Source organism: Homo sapiens, chromosome 2, assembly GCF_000001405.40.
Source record: "Homo sapiens chromosome 2, GRCh38.p14 Primary Assembly".
NCBI classification, from domain to species: domain Eukaryota; kingdom Metazoa; phylum Chordata; class Mammalia; order Primates; family Hominidae; genus Homo; species Homo sapiens.
Genome location: NC_000002.12, coordinates 109,457,721 through 109,478,895, shown reverse-complemented (window position 1 = coordinate 109,478,895; position 21,175 = coordinate 109,457,721). Strand labels below are relative to the sequence as shown.

At 48.3% G+C, this 21,175-nt stretch overlaps 2 protein-coding genes across 5 annotated transcripts in view, besides 1 other annotated feature; both read right to left on the bottom strand.

The window, feature by feature from the left end:
• Positions 1-21,175, bottom strand: part of RANBP2 (RAN binding protein 2) — a 1,122,820-nt gene that overhangs the window by 363,406 nt on the left and 738,239 nt on the right. The window lies entirely within an intron of this gene.
• Positions 1-21,175, bottom strand: part of SH3RF3 (SH3 domain containing ring finger 3) — a 375,430-nt gene that overhangs the window by 25,739 nt on the left and 328,516 nt on the right. The gene's annotated exons all lie outside the window — the stretch shown is intronic.
• Positions 8,031-8,150: an enhancer, noted in NCBI's record as "active region_16363". NCBI's record gives its function as "activates an Ori minimal core promoter by ATAC-STARR-seq in GM12878 lymphoblastoid cells {active_cell/tissue: GM12878}" and the evidence as "EXISTENCE:reporter gene assay evidence [ECO:0000049][PMID:35858748]".

Below are 21,175 nucleotides of genomic sequence, written 5' to 3'. Positions count from 1 at the left end.
TCCCTGAGTTTCACAAAGAAACTATGGTTTTAAGCCACTGAGTTTTGAGATGATTTGTTATGCAGCAAAAGTAACTGGAGCGGGTTTCATTCTCACCTGTCATGAGCTTCCCAGGGCTAGACCCAACCTGTATGATAAGCCCGTCGCATGGCCTCTGAGCAAGAAGATCTTACCTACGAGCTCAGACTCTCCCCCTCTCTCCCTTCCCCACCACACCGTATTTTTGATAAACAAGTGTGGGATGGAAAAATGAAAGCGCATTCCAACAAACTTCTTAGGAAAAGTTGACAGAAATGTTGGAAGCATGTATAATTGTAGGGATACCAGACATCCAAATAATAGAGAAGAATTCTGCAAGGAAAAATGCCAAGGACTGAACCTCAGTACATTTTCATGGAAAGCATGAAGACATCTAGATAACTGAATACATTCAAACCAAATCGCAGGTCTTAAAAGCAAACAAGGTGCCATCTCACACTGATGGGGTGTTTAGAGACTGGAGGGCCCATCTTGATTTAAAGACGTAACTGGGAATTGAGGGAGAAGGATTTTACTCAAAGGACACATTTTCAGACAGCCTAGGGAATCCAAACAGTGCAAGTTTGAATGTATCACAGGGACAGCTAGACGGCTTTATGGGAACTGAGAGAGAGAAGGAATGAAAAATACACTGGGAGCCAGCGTGAAGTGTGAAACTTAACAAGGCCGTTAGGTCATAGAATGCACTAGAATCGCCTGCCCCAAAGGCGGCCTCCAATCAGGCAGCTCCTCTCCGGCTGCAGAGCTCAAAGCCCTTGGCAGGGCCCCTTCTTCACTGTGGTGGATGGGACACTCAGGGACCTCCTCCCCAGGGTCTCTCTCAGCTTTCTAATCATTCCAGTAATATTTCATGAGCAGTGGGGAGAGGTGAGGAGGAGGCCCTTGCGGGAACCCTCCAGCAAAGGCAGGGCAGGATCTTTCCTGCAGGTCCATGCCAAGGGTGTGGGGCTGCTGCACTTGAATGCACATGTTCCCCAAAGTCATGTCAACCCCAGCTCCCAGTGTGATAGCCTTAGGAGGTGGGGTCTCTGGGAGATGATCGGGTCGTGAGAGCTCCCTTGCCCTATTGACCACGTGAGGACACGGTGAGAAGGCGCCGTCTATGAACCAGGAAGCCAGTCCTCACCAGACACCGAATCTGTGGTGTCTGGATCTCAGACTTCCAGCCCGCAAAACTGTGGGAAATCACTCCTGTTGCTGACACCCCTCACCAACACACACACACACACACACACACACACACCCATCTGTGGCATTTTGTTACAGCAACTCAAGGGACTACAACAGGCGCTGTGACCCCAGTCCCTTTAACTGCCCTCTTCCTGCTGGGAGAGGCTCTCCTGGTCTCACCTCAGCATGTGTCTGGCGGGAGGGGGCCTCTCAGCCCACAGCTGGGAGAACTCTATGCCCGTTTCGGGACTTTGAGGTTGGGTTGGGGAGGTAAGAATGAAGGAGCCTCCAAGGACAGTGGCTGTGGGGAATGAATGATTGTGGTGGGCCCATATACCTGTCACTTTTTTCATGGAGGGCAGGGAGCGGCATGGTCTTTGGGCGTGAAGGCTGTGCCTGTGCAGGAACGGGGAGTGACTTCCCCCACTCTGGGCCAGTTCCTGACAGTCACCACGTGAGGGTGTGCAACCCGGGGCAGTGCAGTAAGCTTCAAGGATTTCCAGTTCTCCTAGGCCAACGGTCATTCAGGCCAATTGTCAGAGGCGTTTGAACCACAGCAACTCCATCTTGAGTAGGGGCTAGGTAACATGAGGCTGAGACCTACTGGGGTGCATTCCCAGACAGTTAAGGCATTCTAAGTCACAGAAGGTCAGCACAAGGCACAGATCATAAAGACCCTGCTGATAAAACAGCTTGGAGTAAAGAAGCTAGCTAAATCCCACCAAAACCAAGGTGGTGATGAGGGTGACCTCTGGTTGTCCTCACTGCTACACTCCCATTAGCGCCATGACAATCTACAAATGCCACAGCAATGTCAGGAAGTTACCCGATATGGTTTAATAAGGGGAGGTGTGAATAATCCACCCCTTGTTTAGCTTATCATCAAGAAACAACCATAAAAAAGGGCAACCAGCAGCCCTCAGGGCTGCTGTCTATGGAACAGCTATTCTTGTATTCCTTTACTTTCCTAACAAACTTGCTTTCACTTTACAGACTCACCCTGAATTCTTTCTTGCGGGAGATCCAAGAACCCTCTCTTGGGATCTGGATTGGGACCCCTTTCCTGTAACACAATCACTTCATAACCATGTGTTTGAGGCTCATGGAGAGCCCGAGAGCTTTAGAGGAAAGTCCAGTATCTTTTAGCCTTTGACATGCTAGAGCCAGGCTTCACCTGAAGGTCCAAATATCTTGGGTTCTAGACCTCCTTGTATGAACTGTCTGAAGAGTCTGATGGGATTTGAGTACTACTACCTCCCCTGGGGCTACCCAGTACCTCCCCTAGGGGCTACTCAGTACCTCACCCAGGGGCTACCCAGTACCTCCCCTTGGGGTTAGGCACAGTTGTCAAAGGACTGACACATACATGATCTCATTTGATCTTCACTTGACCCCCTTGGGGTACTGTGCCCACAACCCCACTGTGTCTGGAGAACTTTGTGCTGTGGGTGCTAGCAGGCCTGGTGGGGGCAGGGCTGAGTGGAGGACTCAGGTAACAGCTTATCCCTTATAGAGCCTTCTCCAGCCTTTGCTGTGCTAATAAGCAAATTTTAAATAATTTCCTCTTAGTTTGGTAAGAACACTTAACCTGAGATCTGCCCTCTTACAAGTTTCTAAGCATACCGTACAGTACTGCTAACTCTGGGCACAGCCGATCTCCAGGACTTACTCATCAGCAGGCACAGTTTCAGCTGAGCAAGAAGAGTCAGCTCCAACAAGCTAAATTTCACCACAGGAAGTTTTTGGTTGGCCTAGGGCTCTTTTGTTGATGAAGGTGAAGCTCGTGAAGATGTGGAAAGAGAAATGAGTTGCTTAAGGTAATCAATATCAGCATAGCCCAAGGTAGAGGCAGCCAGGCCCCAGAGTGCTGACACTCAGTCACTGTTTCAGAGGAACCAGGAATTCAACCAGGGTGATTCTGCCCCCGAGGAGCCATTTGGCAACATTTGGAGATATTTTCAGCTGTCACAGCTGGGGTGCAGCAGCGTGCTACTGGCATCCACAAAGTAGAAATTGGGATGCTGCTCGACATCCTACAATGCAGAGCACAGTCCTCAAAACAGAGGATTATCTGGCTCTGATAGTGCCAAGGTTGAGAAGCCCTGGCTACAGGGCAGGTGTCAGCCTCTGTGGCATATGTCCCTGTCCCCACCCACAGCCAACTGTATGAGGCAGAAGTAGGTGGGTGGCTTCAGCGCCCCAGGCTGCCTCTCGACCCATTCCTCTCCCAGCTTTTGCTTTAAGACCCAAGAAGCTGCAGGTACTAAATTCTGAACAGCTCCTGGAAGGCAGGGGGACTGGTAGCCACTTTGCGTGGGTTTGCTTTGGAGCATGAGGAGGTGGAGAAATGAAGAATCCATTTGGCAGACACAATAGTCCTGTAGCCCTCGGAGATTTAAGATAATACTGAAGCCGGGCGTGGTGGCTCACGCCTGTAATCCTAGCACTTTGGGAGGCCGAGGCGGGTGGATCACGAGGTCAAGAGATCAAGACCATCCTAGCCAACATGGTGAAACCAAGTCTCTACTAAAAATACAAAAAATTAGCTGGGCGTGGTGGTGCGCACCTGTAGTCCCAGCCACTCAAGAGGCTGAGGCAGGAGGATCGCTCGAACCTGGGAGGTGGAGGTTGCAGTGAGCAGAGATCGCACCACTGCACTCCAGCCTGGTGACACAGCGAGACTCCGTCTCAAAAAAACAAACAAACAAACAAACAAAAAAAACCCAAACAAAACAAAAGACAAAAAACACTGAAAGGTGCTATTTTAATGTCTGTGATTCAGGGAGGGGTGCTGCCCTTCCCTGCTGGCTCTGGAGGGTTGCTGGACTATGAGTGAGTGTAGACTTTGGCGCACACAGGGCACTGGCCCTGGGCACTTGCTGTCAGTCCTGCTGTGCTTCCTGTCCCAGGGTGTGCAGGGCCTCGGATCACTGGATCCATCTGGCTCTGCCCCACTGTTTCCTGTGATGGTGGTGAAGTATCTGCGATGCTTTGGAGAAAAGTAAGGGGCTGGCCCGATGCTGTCCAGGGCAGACCAGCGGGAAGCTTCTGGAATTTCACCTGCGTTCTCCCCCCCTGCCCAAACCTGGGTAAGTCTGAAGCAGGGACACTGTGCCCATGGCTATAAGCCCCGTGCGGTTCGGACTGTAATCCCAGCCTCAGGCCAACTGAGGGCCTCCCACTGCTGCCGCCTGTCCCCAGGGATCATGGCCTGCTCTGGACCACCTAGGTTCCCATCAGTAGCGAGCTGCATCCACAGTGGAAACAGCCCCTCCTTCTCTGTTAGGGGGAGAGCTTTGTTAGACGCAGCTAGCTCACACTTACAGCCCAAATGGCTCACAGAAACCCACAGGGGTTTCTCCTCTCAAACAGCCTGACACATAACTAACTGTCCGGCTCAAAACTTCAGCTCTTTCTCCCACTGCTAAAAGGACTGCTGCAGACAAATGTGCCCACACCCACCTCCCTAGAGAGCCACTGCATGGCTTACACCTGCCCACACACAGGTGTGTGCTCTTACGCAGGTGCGGCCAAGCTTCCCTGGCCACCTGCGTCTTCTGAACACCTGCCACCTTCCTCAGCCCGGCCCAGACTGTGCATCAAATGGAAGCCACGAACCCCCAAACCAAAGGTGAGGAGGCCACACAGAGGCACAGAAAGTCTCCAGCATCAAAGCCCCTGTCATAACCTCATTGGCCTCCAGCACCTTCCAGGACAGAGTCTATAAAGACTTTCTGCCCCTGTGGGAGGGCAGCATTACCCTAGGGGTAATGACAGCACTGCTGATGATCAAGGGGCACAAGGAGAGCGGTTCAGGGGCACAAGGAGAGCGGTTCAGGGACACCCCAAAAAAGAGACAGCCTGCGGCTAAGGTGCTGGCTGTGCACGGGGGGCTCAGAGGCCTCTCAGGCTCAGTGTTACAGGGGAGGAGGTAGCCTGAGGCAGGCAGGAGTGGGTGGGGTGGGTGGGTGGCTGAGTGAGCTGGGCACGGCAGCAGGACATGGCACGCTGCTTCCTCCCTCCACCTAGGACACATATGCTCCCTCATCCCTCCCCCTTGAACCTTGTTTGTGCTTTAGGTCCCATTCAGAAACCATCTTCTTTGAATCCCAGATGAGCAGTTACAGAGGGTTTATTTCTCTCTCCTCTCTGTCGCTCTAACCCTGGCATGGCTCTGTTGCTCAGGCCTTCTTTATCACCTATATCTGCTATTTTACATCCCCCACAGCCTCCCCAAATAAAATAGGGGCTCAGACCTCATTGTATTTGTCCCAATTTGGTGCCAAATGCTGATGGGGGCCTCAGAGCACGCCCTATTCTGAACACGATGTCAACTTGTGCTTGGTAACCAGCCACAAGCCCAGGCACAGCTGCCCATGGCCAAGAGGCTCTGGCTCTGCAGGGCCCAACCCCAGCTCCAGGCTCCCAGTGGTGCCCAGGCGTCGAATGGGGCCAGCCCAGGCCTGTGTGAGGCGCTCGTATGTCTAGGCAGGAAGCCGCTTCCCTGGGAAAATCCATCACAGAGCTTTGCAAGAGTTAACTTGAGTTAATGCTGTTAAATGAGGGGCGATTAAATGCCAGGCTGTCAGTTCTCTTTAGATTCTTGGGACTCGCATCTGAAAGGCTGCAACACCATGTGACCCTGTCTCCTTGCCATCTCAGCCAACACATTATCTTTTCACTAAGGTAGGAAAGGCCCCACGAGTCGGGTAGAATTTATAGCACCACATTCATTCATTTAAAATTGCTTCAAAGGAGATTAGGCCAAAGGTAGGACAGACAGAAATAAGAGGCTGGAGCAGGGCTGTCTGCCCTGGGATATGTCTGAGTGTGTCACGACCCTGTCCATTAGGATAACTTTGCTGTGTGTTGGATTTCCAACGGGCGTCTGGCTGGCTTTCTGTAGGACAAATACAACACAGCCATAAATTATTAGATCAAATGGAATGCATTCAGATGAAATCTCTGTAAAATCTGGCCTCCTTCTGAAGGATGTCTGGAATGAAACAGGAAAAATTAAACACACTATTATTTAGTCAGGTATGGCAAGCTCACTTCCTGAATTTTGTTTTTAAATGAAACAGATGGATGGAAATCACTTCATCCAACCAGAAGGCAGCCGCAGGTCGGTTCATCAATTGGATCGGGGTTTCTGAGGCAGCAACCGTAAATCAAAGCTCTTCTTTCCACAAGTCCTTCCTGATGGCTGCCAGCTTGCCAAGCCCTGACGGGAAGCCCCGTCGGGAAGCCCCGCAAGCTCTGCAGGATGGTTTGGATTTCCTCTTTCTGTGCTTCTTAAGGAAGATTGCTTCCAGGACACCCTGCATGCACACCGGCCCGAGACCACCGAGAGTGCAGGTGAGGAGGGCCCGGGAGGCCCCTGGCCGGGTCCTCTCCTGCCACCGTCTTCCTGGAGCAGCCCAGACCCTGGCCAGGTGGCACCTCCCTGAATAAGTGCCCTGATTTGGGCTTTTATCCCTATCTAATTTTTAACTGGGGACTGCTCCTACATTTCTATAAGGAGCTGCTACCATGAGGTCACAGGTGGTTGTTAATCATATTAACTAATTAATAATAATTAACAATCTAATTAATAATTAGAAAAGGATGGGAATTTGAAAGAAGCTGAGATGTCAGAATCCAGGTGCACACTGTGCTACAGGGCCACACAGTGCAGGGGGCCCAGGACTCTGCTTCTCCCTGAATTGGCAATATAACCATGGAGGAAAATGGCCTGCTTCAGACCAAGTTACATGAACTGCTGTTCACACAGCCCCTGCCTTCTAGAGAACTGCCAGGCATCTGCTCTCCCTGTGTCTGCATAGTCTCAGCAAATAGAGTGTGGAAAAAGTTTAACAAGACGTGCCCCATGCAAAAAGGCAGGACAAGCTATCCAGGACTGTGCATTAGTCTATCTCCTATGGCTAAGCTCTTGGGACCGTCTTATTAGGTATGTGAGGCTGAGACAGCAAGGGGGTGAGTGGAAAAGAAAGAGACTTAGACCCCGCCCCAGCATGTGTCCTGGAGCAGGTGGCTTGGACAGCAACCTCCTCACCCATGGAATACAACAGTGTCTGGGCCTACATGAGCTGTTCCAATGATGAATTTTGCCACTGACTGATATGGTTTGGCTCTGTGTCCCCACTCAAATCTCATCTAGAATTGTAATCCCCATGTGTCAAAGAGGGACCTGGAGGGAGGGGACTAGATCACGGGGGCAGTTTCTCCCATGCTGTTCTTGTGATAGTGAGTGAGTTCTCATGAGATCCAATGGTTTTATGAGGATTCTTCCCCCTTCACTTTCTCTTCTCTCTCCTGCCGCCTTGTGAAGAAGGTGCTTGCTTCCCCTTTGCCTTCCGCCATGATTGTAAGTTTCCTGTGGCACCCCCAGCTGAAACTGAGAGTCAATCAAACCTCTTTCCTTTATACATTACTCAGTCTCAGGTATTAATTTCTTTTTTTTTTTTTTTTTTTTTTTTTGAGACAGAGTCTGTCGCCCAGGCTGGAGTGCAATGGCACGATCTCGGCTCATTGCAAACTCTGCCCCCTGGGTTCAAGTGATTCTCAGCCTCCCAAGTAGCTGGGATTAGAGGCACCTGCCAACACACCCAACTAATTTTTGTGTTTTTAGTGGAGATGGGGTTTCACCATGTTGGCTGGGCTGGTCTCGAACTCCTGACCTCAAGTGATCTGCCCTCCTCGGCCTCTCAAAGTGCTGGGATTACAGGCGTGAGCCACCGCACCCAGCCTAGTCTCTGGTATTTCTTTACAGCAGTGTGAAAATTGACTAATACACTGACTCTGCCTCAGGCAACAGAAGAGATTTCTTATCATGAGGAAGAAGGAATGAAATGTCAGCACCCTTTGTTTGCTGTGAGCTGACTTCCCTGCAAAGGGTCTCTCTAAGCTGTGGCCTGTGGAACAGGGGTGGCTGAGCCGAGGCCTCTACTTCCTGCACATCTGCACCTCTGGCTCTGCTATTTCTGTGATGACCCATCCTCCACCAGCCCCGGCCACAGCAGTTTCTAGGCACCCCATGCGTGGCACTGTCAGAGCCAGTCCAGGGAGCTTGGTGTAACTGCCTGTCCTCCTCCAGACTGCCTTGTTCAGCTCTGCACGTAGAGTACTGAGCCAGGGCTTGTCCCAAAGTGGGTGCTCCACAAATATTTTGTTAAGTCAATAGATGAAAAATAAGTGAATGACCAGAGGGCAACTACACTCAAGTGGGTGGTGTCTCCCCAGACGTGCAATAAGGAAGAGCAAATTCTGAGAACCAAAGATTGACAAGGCGCTTCCAGGGACTTGTTGAGATCCAGCAAAACTCTGGAAAAGATGATCTTTTCCAGATGGAGCAGGAGTCTACCCGAAATGCAAGCATGGATTTCACATGTGGCTAGAGCTGCTGGGTGCTGTGGGTCATCCTTCTAACTCCCATCACTTATTGATGAGGAAATAAGTCATTCCAAAGTAATCTCATCTCTTTACGTAGTGAGGTCCCAGGAGCCTTTGGTGAGGAGACAGGGCCACCCCAGCCACCCCAGAAGGGACAAGGAATCCTTGTAGTTGAGAAGGTGGCTTTGTCTTCATTAGCCAGAAGACAGCTCTGTGGTTGCCCACCACCAGAACGGGCTCAGCTAACCCTCAGACAGGACGCACGAAGAGTGAAATGATCAACACTAAGTAACTCCAGCTTGCAGGATCAAGCGTATCTGCTCATGGGTTCATCTTATAGCTCGCATGTCCTGGAAAGTGCTCTGAGAACACTGCTGTCCAGGCTCAGACCCCCACAGAAGAATGTCTGAGGTTGTGGTTGCAGTGGACAAACGCCTGGCCCCAAGCTGCACACATAACCAACGGCTGGAAAAATTCGGATCTACCTTCTGAGGAAAAGCACGGTTTTCTGGCTTTTCTTCATGAGATCTGGGGGTTCTTTTGTTCAGCAAAAACATAATGGTTAAGCTTTTCAGCGTTCTGCCAGACTTATTACTATTTGCTTGTTGGGTTTCTGGAGCTTGTGGATTTGTCCTTAATCAGAAGTACACAAGACCAGTGCTCAGTCACTCTGAGCCACTGGGGCCCAGCTCCCATTGCCAGCCCACCTAGGAGAAGTCACACACAGAGGACACATTAACTGTTATTTTCTAGGCAGCCTAAGTTTTGTGCTTTGATGAAATTAGGCCACAGAAGACCATCCCACTGCACACATAGTGTGACCCCTGCACAACAGGCATTACTGTCAAACCCTTCCTCGACAGAGCAGCGGATGCATGCATGGAAAACCAACAGACCAGGCAGGCAGTTCTGGCCCCAAAGCAAAGCACGGGGGCTAGTAAAGGGCCACAGGGGCCCAGCCGCATGCCACACACCCCAGGATACAGAGTGGAGGACACAGTGAGGTGGTGTCTTTAGGGCTGTTAGATCCAGGCCCTTCCCTCCTGATAAATTCTCACTCATCCAGGAATATTCTGGGATAGCGCACAATGCACAGAAGAAATACGCTGTGTAAGCACGGGCTGTGGAATGCTGCAGGGGGCCCGCATTCTTGGGGTGGAGAAGAAAGGCATGGCATGGGCCACAAGGTGCAAAGCCACACCTCAGGCCCTGCACAGCCTGTGTTCTCAGCTTACATGCCTGGCCCTGCTCCCACAGCCTCCTGAGCCAAGACTGGTGGCTGGAGCCCTTTAGAAGACCTTGAGCTTGACATGCATCTAGTAGCCCCCGGGAGACCACCACTAACTGGGAAGGCAGTTCCAGTATCAAAGCCGTAGAGGGTTGAAAACGTCACCATGAGAAGCAGCTCTGAATTTAACTTTTTTTTTTTTTTTTTTTTTCTGAGACAGAGTCTTGCTTTGTTGCCCAGGCTGGAGTGCACTGCCGCGATCTTGGCTCACTGCAAACTCCACCTCCCAGGCTCAAGCGATTAACCTGCCTCAGCCTCCTGAGTAGCTGGGATTACAGGTGCCCGCCACCATGCCTGGCTCATTTTTTTATTTTTAATAGAGACAGGGTTTCACCATGTTGGCCAGGCTGGTCTCAAACTCCTGACCTCAAATGATCCACCTGCCTCGGCCTCCCAAAGTGCTGGGATTACAGGCGTGAGCTACCACACCGGGCCTAACTTCCTTCTTATCCTGACTGGTCATCGTTTGTGCTCGCTTCTTGCCAGGCGCATGGAAACATTTTGCTTCCTGCCCTCTCTGAGATCCAGTGGGACCAAGCAGCATGATGTGTTACATAAGGACGTTTTGGTCAATGACAGATCACAATGGGGGTCTTATAAGATGATAATGAAACTGAAAAATTCATGTTGCCTACTGATGTCGCAGCTGTCATAACATCACAGTGCAACGCATTCCCCTTCCTATGTTTAGCTATATTTAGACACACGGTACTTGCCGCTGTGTTACAGTTGCCTATGGTGTTCAACACAGTCACATGCTGTGCAGGTTTTAGCCTAGGAGCCAGAGACTACACCACACAGCCTAGGTGTGTCACAGGCTGTGCCATCTAGGTTTGTGTGAGTCCACTCTGTGATGTTCACAAGACAAAATCACCAAACGACGCGTTTTTCAGAACGTATTCCCTTTAAGTGACACATGACCGTATCTAGCTAGTTTTGATTAGTGAGTTGTGGGAATCTTTGTGGGCAAATGTGATGTGTGTCACTTCTGGGCTGAAATGTTTTCCGCTCTGAGGAGGTCCTCCAGGGTCTCTCTGCCTCTGACCCAGCAGCCCGCATGGAGGTGGAGCATGTTCACAGGACTGCGCCCTGGGGTGTTGGTGCAGCTGGCTACAGGCATCTGAGGTCTGTGAGGGATGTGAATGACGGCGGAGGGTGCTCAGCCTGGCTCTGTTCCTCTGCGTGTGCAGCCTGTCCTGACTGCTGCCAGGGGACTGCAGAACGGTCAGATCAGGCAAAAGGTGCCCAGTGGGATTAAATCAGAGAGGAGCTGCTTCAAACGCTCATCCTCAAATAGATATGGAAATCATGCTCGTCCTCTCTTCTGGCTCTAAAATCTATATACTCACAAAAATACATGATGTTCTTTTTAAAAATAAAGTGCTGTCTTAACTTTTAAAAATATCTATTTGACAAGTTTTGACTTAGCAGATCCCCCTGCAGCAGCCCCACCATCTGGGCGATGTGCATTGCCGCTGCCCTCACGGTGGGCCCAAGCCCCCCAGTCCTGCTGTCCTTCCAGGGCTTCTTCCAGTCCCCAGGAAACCCCCGAGCTGCTTTCTGTCACTAAACATGGGTGTGCATTTTCCAAAGTTTTATAGACACGGGACCCTCCAGTGGCTATTCTGCTTTCTGTCTGGCTCTTGGCCGATTTTGCGCTTCCCTTCCATTGCTGTGTGTATCAGCAGCTGGTTTCTTTTTCTTGCTGGGTGGTGCCCCTTTGCAGGGTTGAGCCACTGTCTGTGCATGCATTCATCAGCTGATTGGCATCTGGGCCATTTCCAGTCTGAGGCTGTCACAAATAAAGCTGCTACGGATCCCTCATGCAGGAGCCTTTGTGTAGGCCTGTGTGTCTGCTTCTCCTAGGAGTGGAATGGCTGAGTGACAGGTGGCATGTTTAACTTCTTAAAAAATTGCTGAACCATTTTCCCAAGTAGTTGTGCCATTTTACATTTCCACCAGCAGAGCAGGAGGGTTCTCAGCCTAACCCTTTAAATATGCAGCCTCTTTCTCTCTTTCACAGAGTATGAAGACATACACACACATGCACACAGATATATAGACACACACATACATGCATACATACACATATAGACACACATACACAAACACATGCACACATATACACACAAACATATACACACATGCACATGTATAGACATGCACACATATACATACACATACACACATATAGACATACACACATATAGATACACACATGCACAAGTATAGACATGCACACAGATATAGACACACAAATGCACACACTCAGAATGAATTGTGGACCCAAATGTAAAATGCAAAACTATGAAACTCCTAGAAGATAACATATGGAAAAATCTAGAGGACCTTAGGCTTAGTGGTGCCTTTTTAGATAAAACACCAAAGACACAATCATGAAATAGTTAATAAATTGGGCTCCATGAAAATTAACAACTTGTGCTCTGAAACAGATACTGTCAAGAGAATGAGAAAACAAGTCACAGACTGAGAGACAATATTTGCAAAAGACCACTGTGGTATATCTAAAATGTACAAAGAACTCTTAAAACTTTATAAGAAAACAAACAACCCAATTAAAAACTCAGCAAAGATCTAAACAGACATCTCATTAAAAAAGATGTACAGGCTGGGCGCAGGACTCACGCCTATAATCCCAGCACTTTGGGAGGCCGAGGCGGGCAGGTCACGAGGTCAGGAGATCAAGACCATCCTGGCTAACACAGTGAAACCCCGTCTCTACTAAAAATACAAAAATTAGCTGGGTGTGGTGGCACGCGCCTGTAGTCCCAGCTACTCGGGAGGCTGAGGCAGGAGAATCGCTTGAACCTGGGAGGCAGAGGTTGCAGCAGTGAGCCGAGATAGCACTGCTGCACTCCAGCCTGGGCGACGGAGCGAGACTCCATCTCAAAAAAAAAAAAAAAAAAAAAAAAAGATGTACAGGTAGCAGATAAGCATATGAAAAGATGCTCAGCATTATATGTTGATATGGTTTGAACCTGTGTCCCCACCATAGCTCATGCTGAATTGTAATCCCCGGTGTTAGAGGTGGGGTCTGGTGGGAGGTGACTGGATCGTGGGGACGGATCCTTGGTGAATGGTCGTGGAAGCAGATTTCTCACGAATGGTTTAACACCGTCTCCTTGGTGCCCTCCCTGTGACAGTGAGTGAGTTCTCATGAGACCTGATTGTTTAAAGGTGTATAGCACCTCCTCCCTCCCCTCTTGCTCCTGCTCCTGCCATGTGAGACTCTTTGTTCCCTCTTTGTCTTCCGCCATGATTGGAAGCTTCCTGAGGTCTCCCCAGAAGTAAAAGCTGCTATGCTTCCTGTAGAGCCTGCAGAACCATAACCAATTAAACCTCTTTTCTTTATAAACTACCCAGTCTCAGGTATTTCTTTATAGCAGTGCAAGAATGGCCTAATACAGATGTCATTAGGGAACTGCAAAGTATAATAACAATGAGAGACCACTACATAACTATTAGGATGGCAAAATCCAAAACAGTGACAACACTGAATGCTGGTGAGGATATGAAGCAATGAGAACTCTCATTCATTGCTGGTAGGAAAGCAAAATGGTGCAGCCACTTTGGAAGAGAGTTGGCAGTTTCTTACAAAACTAAATGTACTTTTACCGACCTCAGCACATACTCTTACATACTCCTAAAATCTCCTTTCTTGGTATTTATCCGAATTTATGTCCATATAAAAACCCACACAAGATGTTTATAGCGGCTGTATTCATAACTGCCAAAACTGAGAAGCAACTAAGATGTCCTTTGGTAAGTAAATGGATAAATAAACTGTGGTACATCTGGACAATGGAATATTATTCAGTGCTAAAAAGAACTGAGCTACTAATCTATGAGAAGACATGGAGGAAACGTAAATGCACATCACTAAATAAAATAAGCCAATGCAAAAAGGCTACAACATTGTGTATGATTCCAATTGTATAACAATCTAGAAAAGGCAAATCTATGAAGGCAGTAAAAAGGTCAGTGGTTGCCAGGAGTTAGATGTGAAAGAGTGATCAACAGGCAGAGCACAGAGGATTTTTAGGGCAGTCAAACTATCCTGTATGATACTATAATGCTGGACACATGTCATTATACATTTGTCAAAATCCATAGATTTTGGACAACACCAAGAGTAAATCCTAACGTAAACTATGGACATTGGGTAATGATGTGTCAAGGTAGGTTCATCAGTCCTGACACATGTACCACTTTGGTGTAGGCCATTGATAGTAGAAGAGATTGTGCATGTGTGGGAGCAGGGAGTATATGAGGACTTTCTGCATTTTCTGCTCAGTTTTTCTCTGAACCTAAATTTGTTCTAAAAAATAAAGTCTCTTTAAAAAAAGTCTTGGAAGGATGACTTCCAATATCAGAAGGGCTATTTTTAGAAGAGGAAATCGATTGTGAGGGAGCAGAATTGGCAGAAGTGGATCAACTCTGCAGGATGTGTATGTATGCAAGGCTATGTATGCATGTATGTATTTGTGTATGCATCTGTATATGTGTACAGATGTTTACATGTGTGCACATGTATTTTATATGTACGCGAATGTGTGTACATGTAGTCATGTTTGTATGTGTATTTTTGTTATGTATTCATGTAGATGTATATACATAAATATGCTTATTGCATGTGAATGTTATTTGTATGTGTTCACATTGTACGTGAGTTCATGTTGTACATGTGTATGTATATGTATGAATGTGTGTATATTTGTGTGTGGATGTGTATCTGTGTGTGTAGACTCTGTAGATTTTGCCCGACAAGAGGATGAATCTTTTAATAGGTCAGTCCAGCCATAAAACAAGCCCCCTCATTAAGTGGTGAGCTCTTGTCCCTGGAAGTATTTTAGAAGAAACTGAATGATCCCCTGTAAAAATGCTGCAGCCCGGCCTGCTGGCAGTGTGGGGGCTGGCAGGTCTACCAGCACAGATGCCATCTGTTCTCCTTTCTAGAGCTATGTTCTGTGAATTGGGGACCCTCCCGAGCGAGGGTCTATCCTTCCTCTCCTGGTGACCTCTTGCCAGGCACACTTTGTACGGGTGCCTCTTTCTAAGAGAAGACTCTAAATGTTCACCCCTACCCTGTCTATACCACCTCTGGCAGAGTCCTCAAAGCCCAGCTGAGGGAATCAGTTGTGACAGGGAGAAAGGGGCCTCCACTGAGGGACAATTCCCTTGCATCTCTCCATGTCACAGAGGCATCATTCTCCATGGTCTTAGCATGTTCCTAAAACAAACATTTGCAGCCAGGTCTCTCCAAGGTGTTAAAAACTTTGGGTAGCTTGACTGCAGCGGAAACAAACATGAACATCTCCTCTTTTGTGAGCCTCAGGGTCTGATGGCTTCTTCCCCATTGCTTCCAGAGTCCCTGTTTGTTACCAAGTTGCACAATAATCAGAAATTGGAAGTAACTAATATTTCCTCCCACCCCAGGAGGGTCCAGAGGACACGCCTTTCACCACGACTATGAGAAACAGATGTGTGAGGGGAGTCCTCGCACCCTTGAAAAGCTCTGGAGTCACACTTCTCCACAGGCCGGACCTTACAGTGGGAACTATGGCCATGGAACTGGGAAACCTGGAAGTGACTGGGTCCCAGAGCAAGGGGGGCAGGGCCCACATGGTGGCACATAATTACCAAAGACAAGGCCGACCAGGTGGTAATACCGTGAGACAAGTTACCAAAACAGACAGCACAGTCAAGGCAGTAATCAACTGGCAACTGGCAGTCCATTATATTCCTGGAAGAGAAATAGATGGGCTGTCTACTAAATTCTTACTTGAGCTGTGTAAACAGAAGAGTTCTAGGTCTAGTGAACAGAAGTATAACTTGAATCACAAAACAGAGTCACAACCCTTCAATCAATTCCCAGGCTTGAGCTACTTTACAGACTCAGAATCCCTTGAATTTACAGGTTAGGTCTTCTTGAGGAAAGACCCCAGGGCCATACCAAAATCTTACACTGTTAATCTTTCTCCCAGGCTTCCCCAAAGGGATCTACCTTAACAGGGTGACTGCGCATTAGGGGAAAGAAAATAATCAGACTTTTCAGGGACAGCTGGACACTGGATCTGAACTGACCCTAAGTTGACGAGAGCCAAATGTCACTATGGTCTGCCAGTCAGGGACGGGCTTATGGAGCACAGGTGATCAGTGGAGTTTTATCTCATGTCCTTCTCACAACAGTTCAAGTATGGCCCTGAACCCATCCTGTGGGTTTTCTCCAGTTCTGAAATGCATCATTAGCCTAGACGTACTCAGCAGCAGGCAGAATCCTCACATTGGTTTCCTGACCTGTGGAGAGAGGGCTGTTATGCAAGAAAGGCCAGTGGAAGCCACTAACCTGCCTCTATTTCAGAAAATGGTAAAATAAAAGCAATATGCATTCCTAGAGGTACTGCAGAGATTAGTGCCACCATCAAAGACTTGAAGGATACAGGGGTGGTGATTCTCACCACATCCCTATTCAACTCTCCTGTTTGGCCGGTGCAGAAGAGAGATGGATCATGGAGAATGACAGAGGATTATCATAAGCTTAACCAGGTGGTGACTCCAACTGCAGATGCCATACCAGTATGGTTTCGTTGTTTAAGCAAATTAATCCACCACACCTCTTGGTATCTGATATGCAGTGATTAATTCGGCAAATGCTTTTTTTGTTAGTAAAGACTGAAGCAGTTTGCTTTCAGCAGGCAAGGCCAGCAATGAAACTCAGGGGTAGATCAATTCTCCAACTCTGTGTCACAAAATAGTTTGCAGGGATGGTGATCACCTTTGCCTTCCTCAAGATGTCATACGAGATGGCCCATGACATTGATGGCCTTGTGCTGACTGGACCTAGTGAGCAAGAAGCAGCAACTACTCTAGATTTGTTGGTAAGACACCTGCATGTCAGAGGATGGGAAATAAATTGAATTAAAATTCAAAGGCCTTCTACCTCAGTGAAATTTCTAGGGGTTTGGTGGTGTGGGGGCACACTGAGACATCCCTCGTAAGGTGGAGAAAAAGTGGTTACGTCTAGCCCCTCCTATAGCCAGAGTTAAAAAGGTGAGTGGGGCTCTTTGAATTTTTAGAGACAACATCCTCCTCAGATGGGTGTATTAATTTGGCCTATTTATTAAGTGACCCCCAAAATTGATAGTTTTGAGTAGGACCTAGAACAAAAAAAGGCTCTGCAACAGGTCCAGGCTGCTGTGAAAGATGCTCTACCACTTGGGCCACATGACCCAGGAGATCCAGTGGTGCCTGAGGCACTATTGTGGCAGACAGGGATGCTACGTGGGGCCTCTGGCAGGTGGATCACCGCGCAGGTCTTTAGGACAGACAGGGATGCTACGTGGGGCCTCTGGCAGGTGGATCACCGCGCAGGTCTTTAGGACAGACAGGGATGCTACGTGGGGCCTCTGGCAGGTGGATCACCGCGCAGGTCTTTAGGACAGACAGGGATGCTACGTGGGGCCTCTGGCAGGTGGATCACCGCGCAGGTCTTTAGGACAGACAGGGATGCTACGTGGGGCCTCTGGCAGGTGGATCACCGCGCAGGTCTTTAGGACAGACAGGGATGCTACGTGGGGCCTTTGGCAGGTGGATCACCGCGCAGGTCTTTAGGATTTTGGAGCAAGCCTCTGCTGTCTTCCAAGGACAACTGCTCTCTTTCTGAGAGATAGTTCTTGGTCTGCCACTGGGCCTTGGTAGAGACTAAATGCTTGACCATGAGCCACCAATTACCATGCAACTAGAGCTGCCCACTGTGAACTGGTGTTATCTGACCCACCAAGCATAAAGCTGGGCGTGCACAGCAGCATTCCATGACCAAATGGAAGGGTGGACACATGATCGGGTTAGAGCAGGTCCCGAAGGCACCAGTAAGTTACATGAGGAAGTGGCCTAAAATGCCTATGGTCACCACTCCTGCTATGCTGCCTTCTCTCTCCCAGCCTGCACCTGTGGCCTCCTGGGCAGTTCCATAGGATCACACAGGAAGATAAGACTTGAGCCTGGTTCACAGATGGTTCTGCACCATATGCAGGCACCACCTGAAAGTGGGCAGCTGCAGCACTGCAGCCCCTCTCTGGGACATCCCTGAGGGACAGCAGTGAAGGGAAAGCCTCTCAGTGGGCAGAACTTTGAGGAATGCACCTGGTTGTGCACTTTGCTTGGAAGGAGAAGTGGCTAGAAGTGTGATTGTTTAATGATTCATAGGCTGTGGCCGATGATTTGGCTGGTTGGTCAGGGACTTGCAAGAAACATAATTGGAAAATTGGTGACAAGGAAATTGGAAAAGCACATGTGAAAAGACCTCTTTCAATGGGAAAACATGTGGTGAAATTTGTGTGCCATTTAAATGCTCACCAAAGGGTGACCTCAGCAGAGGAGGACTTTAGTAATTCCACAGATGGGATTCTGTGGAGCACAGTCAATGACTGAGCCTCTTTCCTCAGCCATTCCTGTCATTGCCCAGTGGACCCATGAACAGAGTGGCCACTGTGGATGGAGGTGATGCATGGGCTCAGCATCATGGATTTCCACTCACCATGGCCAACCTGGCTACGACTACCACTGTGTCCAATCCACCAGCAGCAGAGAACAACAGTGAGTCCCCAGCATGTCACCACTCCCTGAGATGGTCAGCATCCACCTGGGGGCAAGGTGACTACCTTGGACCACCTCCATCAAGGAAGGGGCAATGGTGTTTTGTCCTTCCTGGAATGGATACTATTCACTCTAGATATGGATTTGTCTTCCCTACACACAATGCTTCTGCCAAAGTGAATATCCATGGACTTCAGAATGCCTTAACCACCATCACGGTATTCCACACAGCACTGCTTCTGACTGAGGAGCTCACTCCATAGCAAATGAAGTGCAGCAATGGGCTCGTGTGCATGGAACTCACTGGCTCTACCATGTTCCCCATTATGCTGGCAGCTGGCTTGACAGAATGTAGAATGACCTTTTGAAGACTCAGTTACAGCACCAGCTGGGTGACAGTCCCTTGCAGGGCTGGGACAATATTCTCCAGAAGGCTGGGTATGCTCTGAATCAGCATCAAATATATGGTGCTATTTCTCCTACAGCCAGGACTCATGGGCCCAGGAATCATGGGGCAGAAATGGGAGAAGCACCACTTATTATGACCCCTAGTAACCCACTAGCAAAATGTCTGCTTCTTGTTCTCACAACATTATGTTCTACTAGTCTAGAGGTCTTGGTTCCAGGGGGAGGAATGTTGCCACCAGGAAACATGACAATGATTCCATTGAGCTGGAATTCAAGACTGCCACTCAGCCGCTTTGGGATCCTTGTGGCTTAGAATCAAAGGCAGGAACGGGAACTACTGTGCTGGCTCGGGTGACTGATCCTGACCACCGTGGGAAACTGGACTGCACTCCATAGTGGACATGGGCAAGAGCATGTCTGGGATACAGGAGATCCCTTGGGGTGTCTCCTAGCACGCTCTCAATCACAATGCCCCGTGACTGAGGTCAATGGAAAACTATAACCACCCAATCCAGACAGGACTAAAAATGGCCCAGTCCCTTCAGGAATGAAGGTTTGGATCACCCCACCAGGTAAGGGTCCATGCCCAGATGAGGCGCTTTCTGAAGGGAAGGGGAATACAGATTGGATAGTAGACAAAGTAATTATAAATACCAGCCATGACCATGTGAACAGCTACAGAAATGAGGATTGTAACTGTTGTAAGTATTTCCTCCTATTTTGTTAAGAATATGTCTGTGTGAATGTGTATATTAAGCAGTACCTTTGTTTTCTTCTCTCTCTTATCTCACCATGTAATATAAGTTGCACTGACTTTATATGATATGATTATTATATGATAGTATTTAAGTTACAAGATATCAAGAAGAAGACGAAGCACCACTCAAAGACTCTGAATCCTCTTCTGGGAAGGGCGCATGCACTCTTGGTGTAGTCAGGCTTGTTGTATCATATTAGGCAGAAGTATGACTTTGCTTTTGTCTTTATGTGGAAACTAAGTATAGTTTAGGGAGATGTCAAGCTGACAAAGGATGGACGGTGATGGTGAGTTTTATGTCAGTGTGGCTAGGCAGGTACCCAGTTGTTTGAGCAAACACTAATCTAGATGTTGCTATGAAGGCATTTGGCAAATGTGTTAATATCTACAGCCAGTTTACCTTAAGTAAAAGAGATTACTGAAAGTACATACCTTGATAATGTGGGTGGGCCTCGCCCAATCAGCTGAAGGCCTTAAGAGCAATCACAGGCATCCTGTGGACAATGATTTTCTGCCTCAAGACTGCACAGCAACTCCTGACTGAGGGTCCAGCCTGCTGGGCTGCCCCACAGAATTCAGGCTTGCCAGCCTCCACAGTCACATAATTCCTTAAAATAAATAAATTCTCTCTCTCTCTCTCTCTCTCTCTCTCTGTCTCCTGCTGGTTCTGTTTCTCTGGAGATCCCTGACTGATACAAACCAATAATTAATTTTTATAGTATTCCCATGAGTACAAAAAGACATTATTCCCATTTTCACACTAAATAAACTGAAGTCTAGGGGAGTTGTAAGGTGACCTTAAAGTGAAAGAGAGAATAAATAAGAGTTAGAAGGCAGGTGATGAAGCCATAAATCTAGCCATTTCTGCTGGTCTTACAAAGAAATCCTATAGCAATAACATTTTCATGAAGTTGACCTATTGGTTCTATTTGAGATCCAGACAGAGTGTGAATCCTCTGAAAAGATTAATGAGTTTCATTCTCATGCTATATACAAATGTGTCCTATAATGTAGTAAGATGCGGCCTGGAAGGAATTTAATAAGCAAGCACATAGCTTATCAGGTGAATAAAAACCAAACTGTCCCAGGAGTGACTTCCCCTAGAGGGAGATGATGGTATGAAGCCGTCTTATTCCCTTGAGGTTACAGAGTGCCCTCCCCGGCTCCTGCACCACATGGCCTGAGTGCCTGAAAAAACAAAATAAAACCACAACAAATAGAATGCCGAACCCAGCACTCTCTGTTCTTTCTCGACATTTCCCTCAGTTATGGGACCAAAATGGAGAGTGCTGGCAAGTGCTGTGGAATGTTCAGAGATGCCCCGCCATGCTGACTTTGTTGCCTTCTGGGAGGGACAGACGGCTGGGTCTGATGTGTGGGCATTACCTTCTGATGTAGTTTATGGGGTGTGCGCTTGTTTTTCTTCTGAACTAATGCCATCACTGAGTTTTTCTGGGCATGGACGGCTGGAAAAAAATCCCATGTCTTTGAAAGCACTGTGAGAA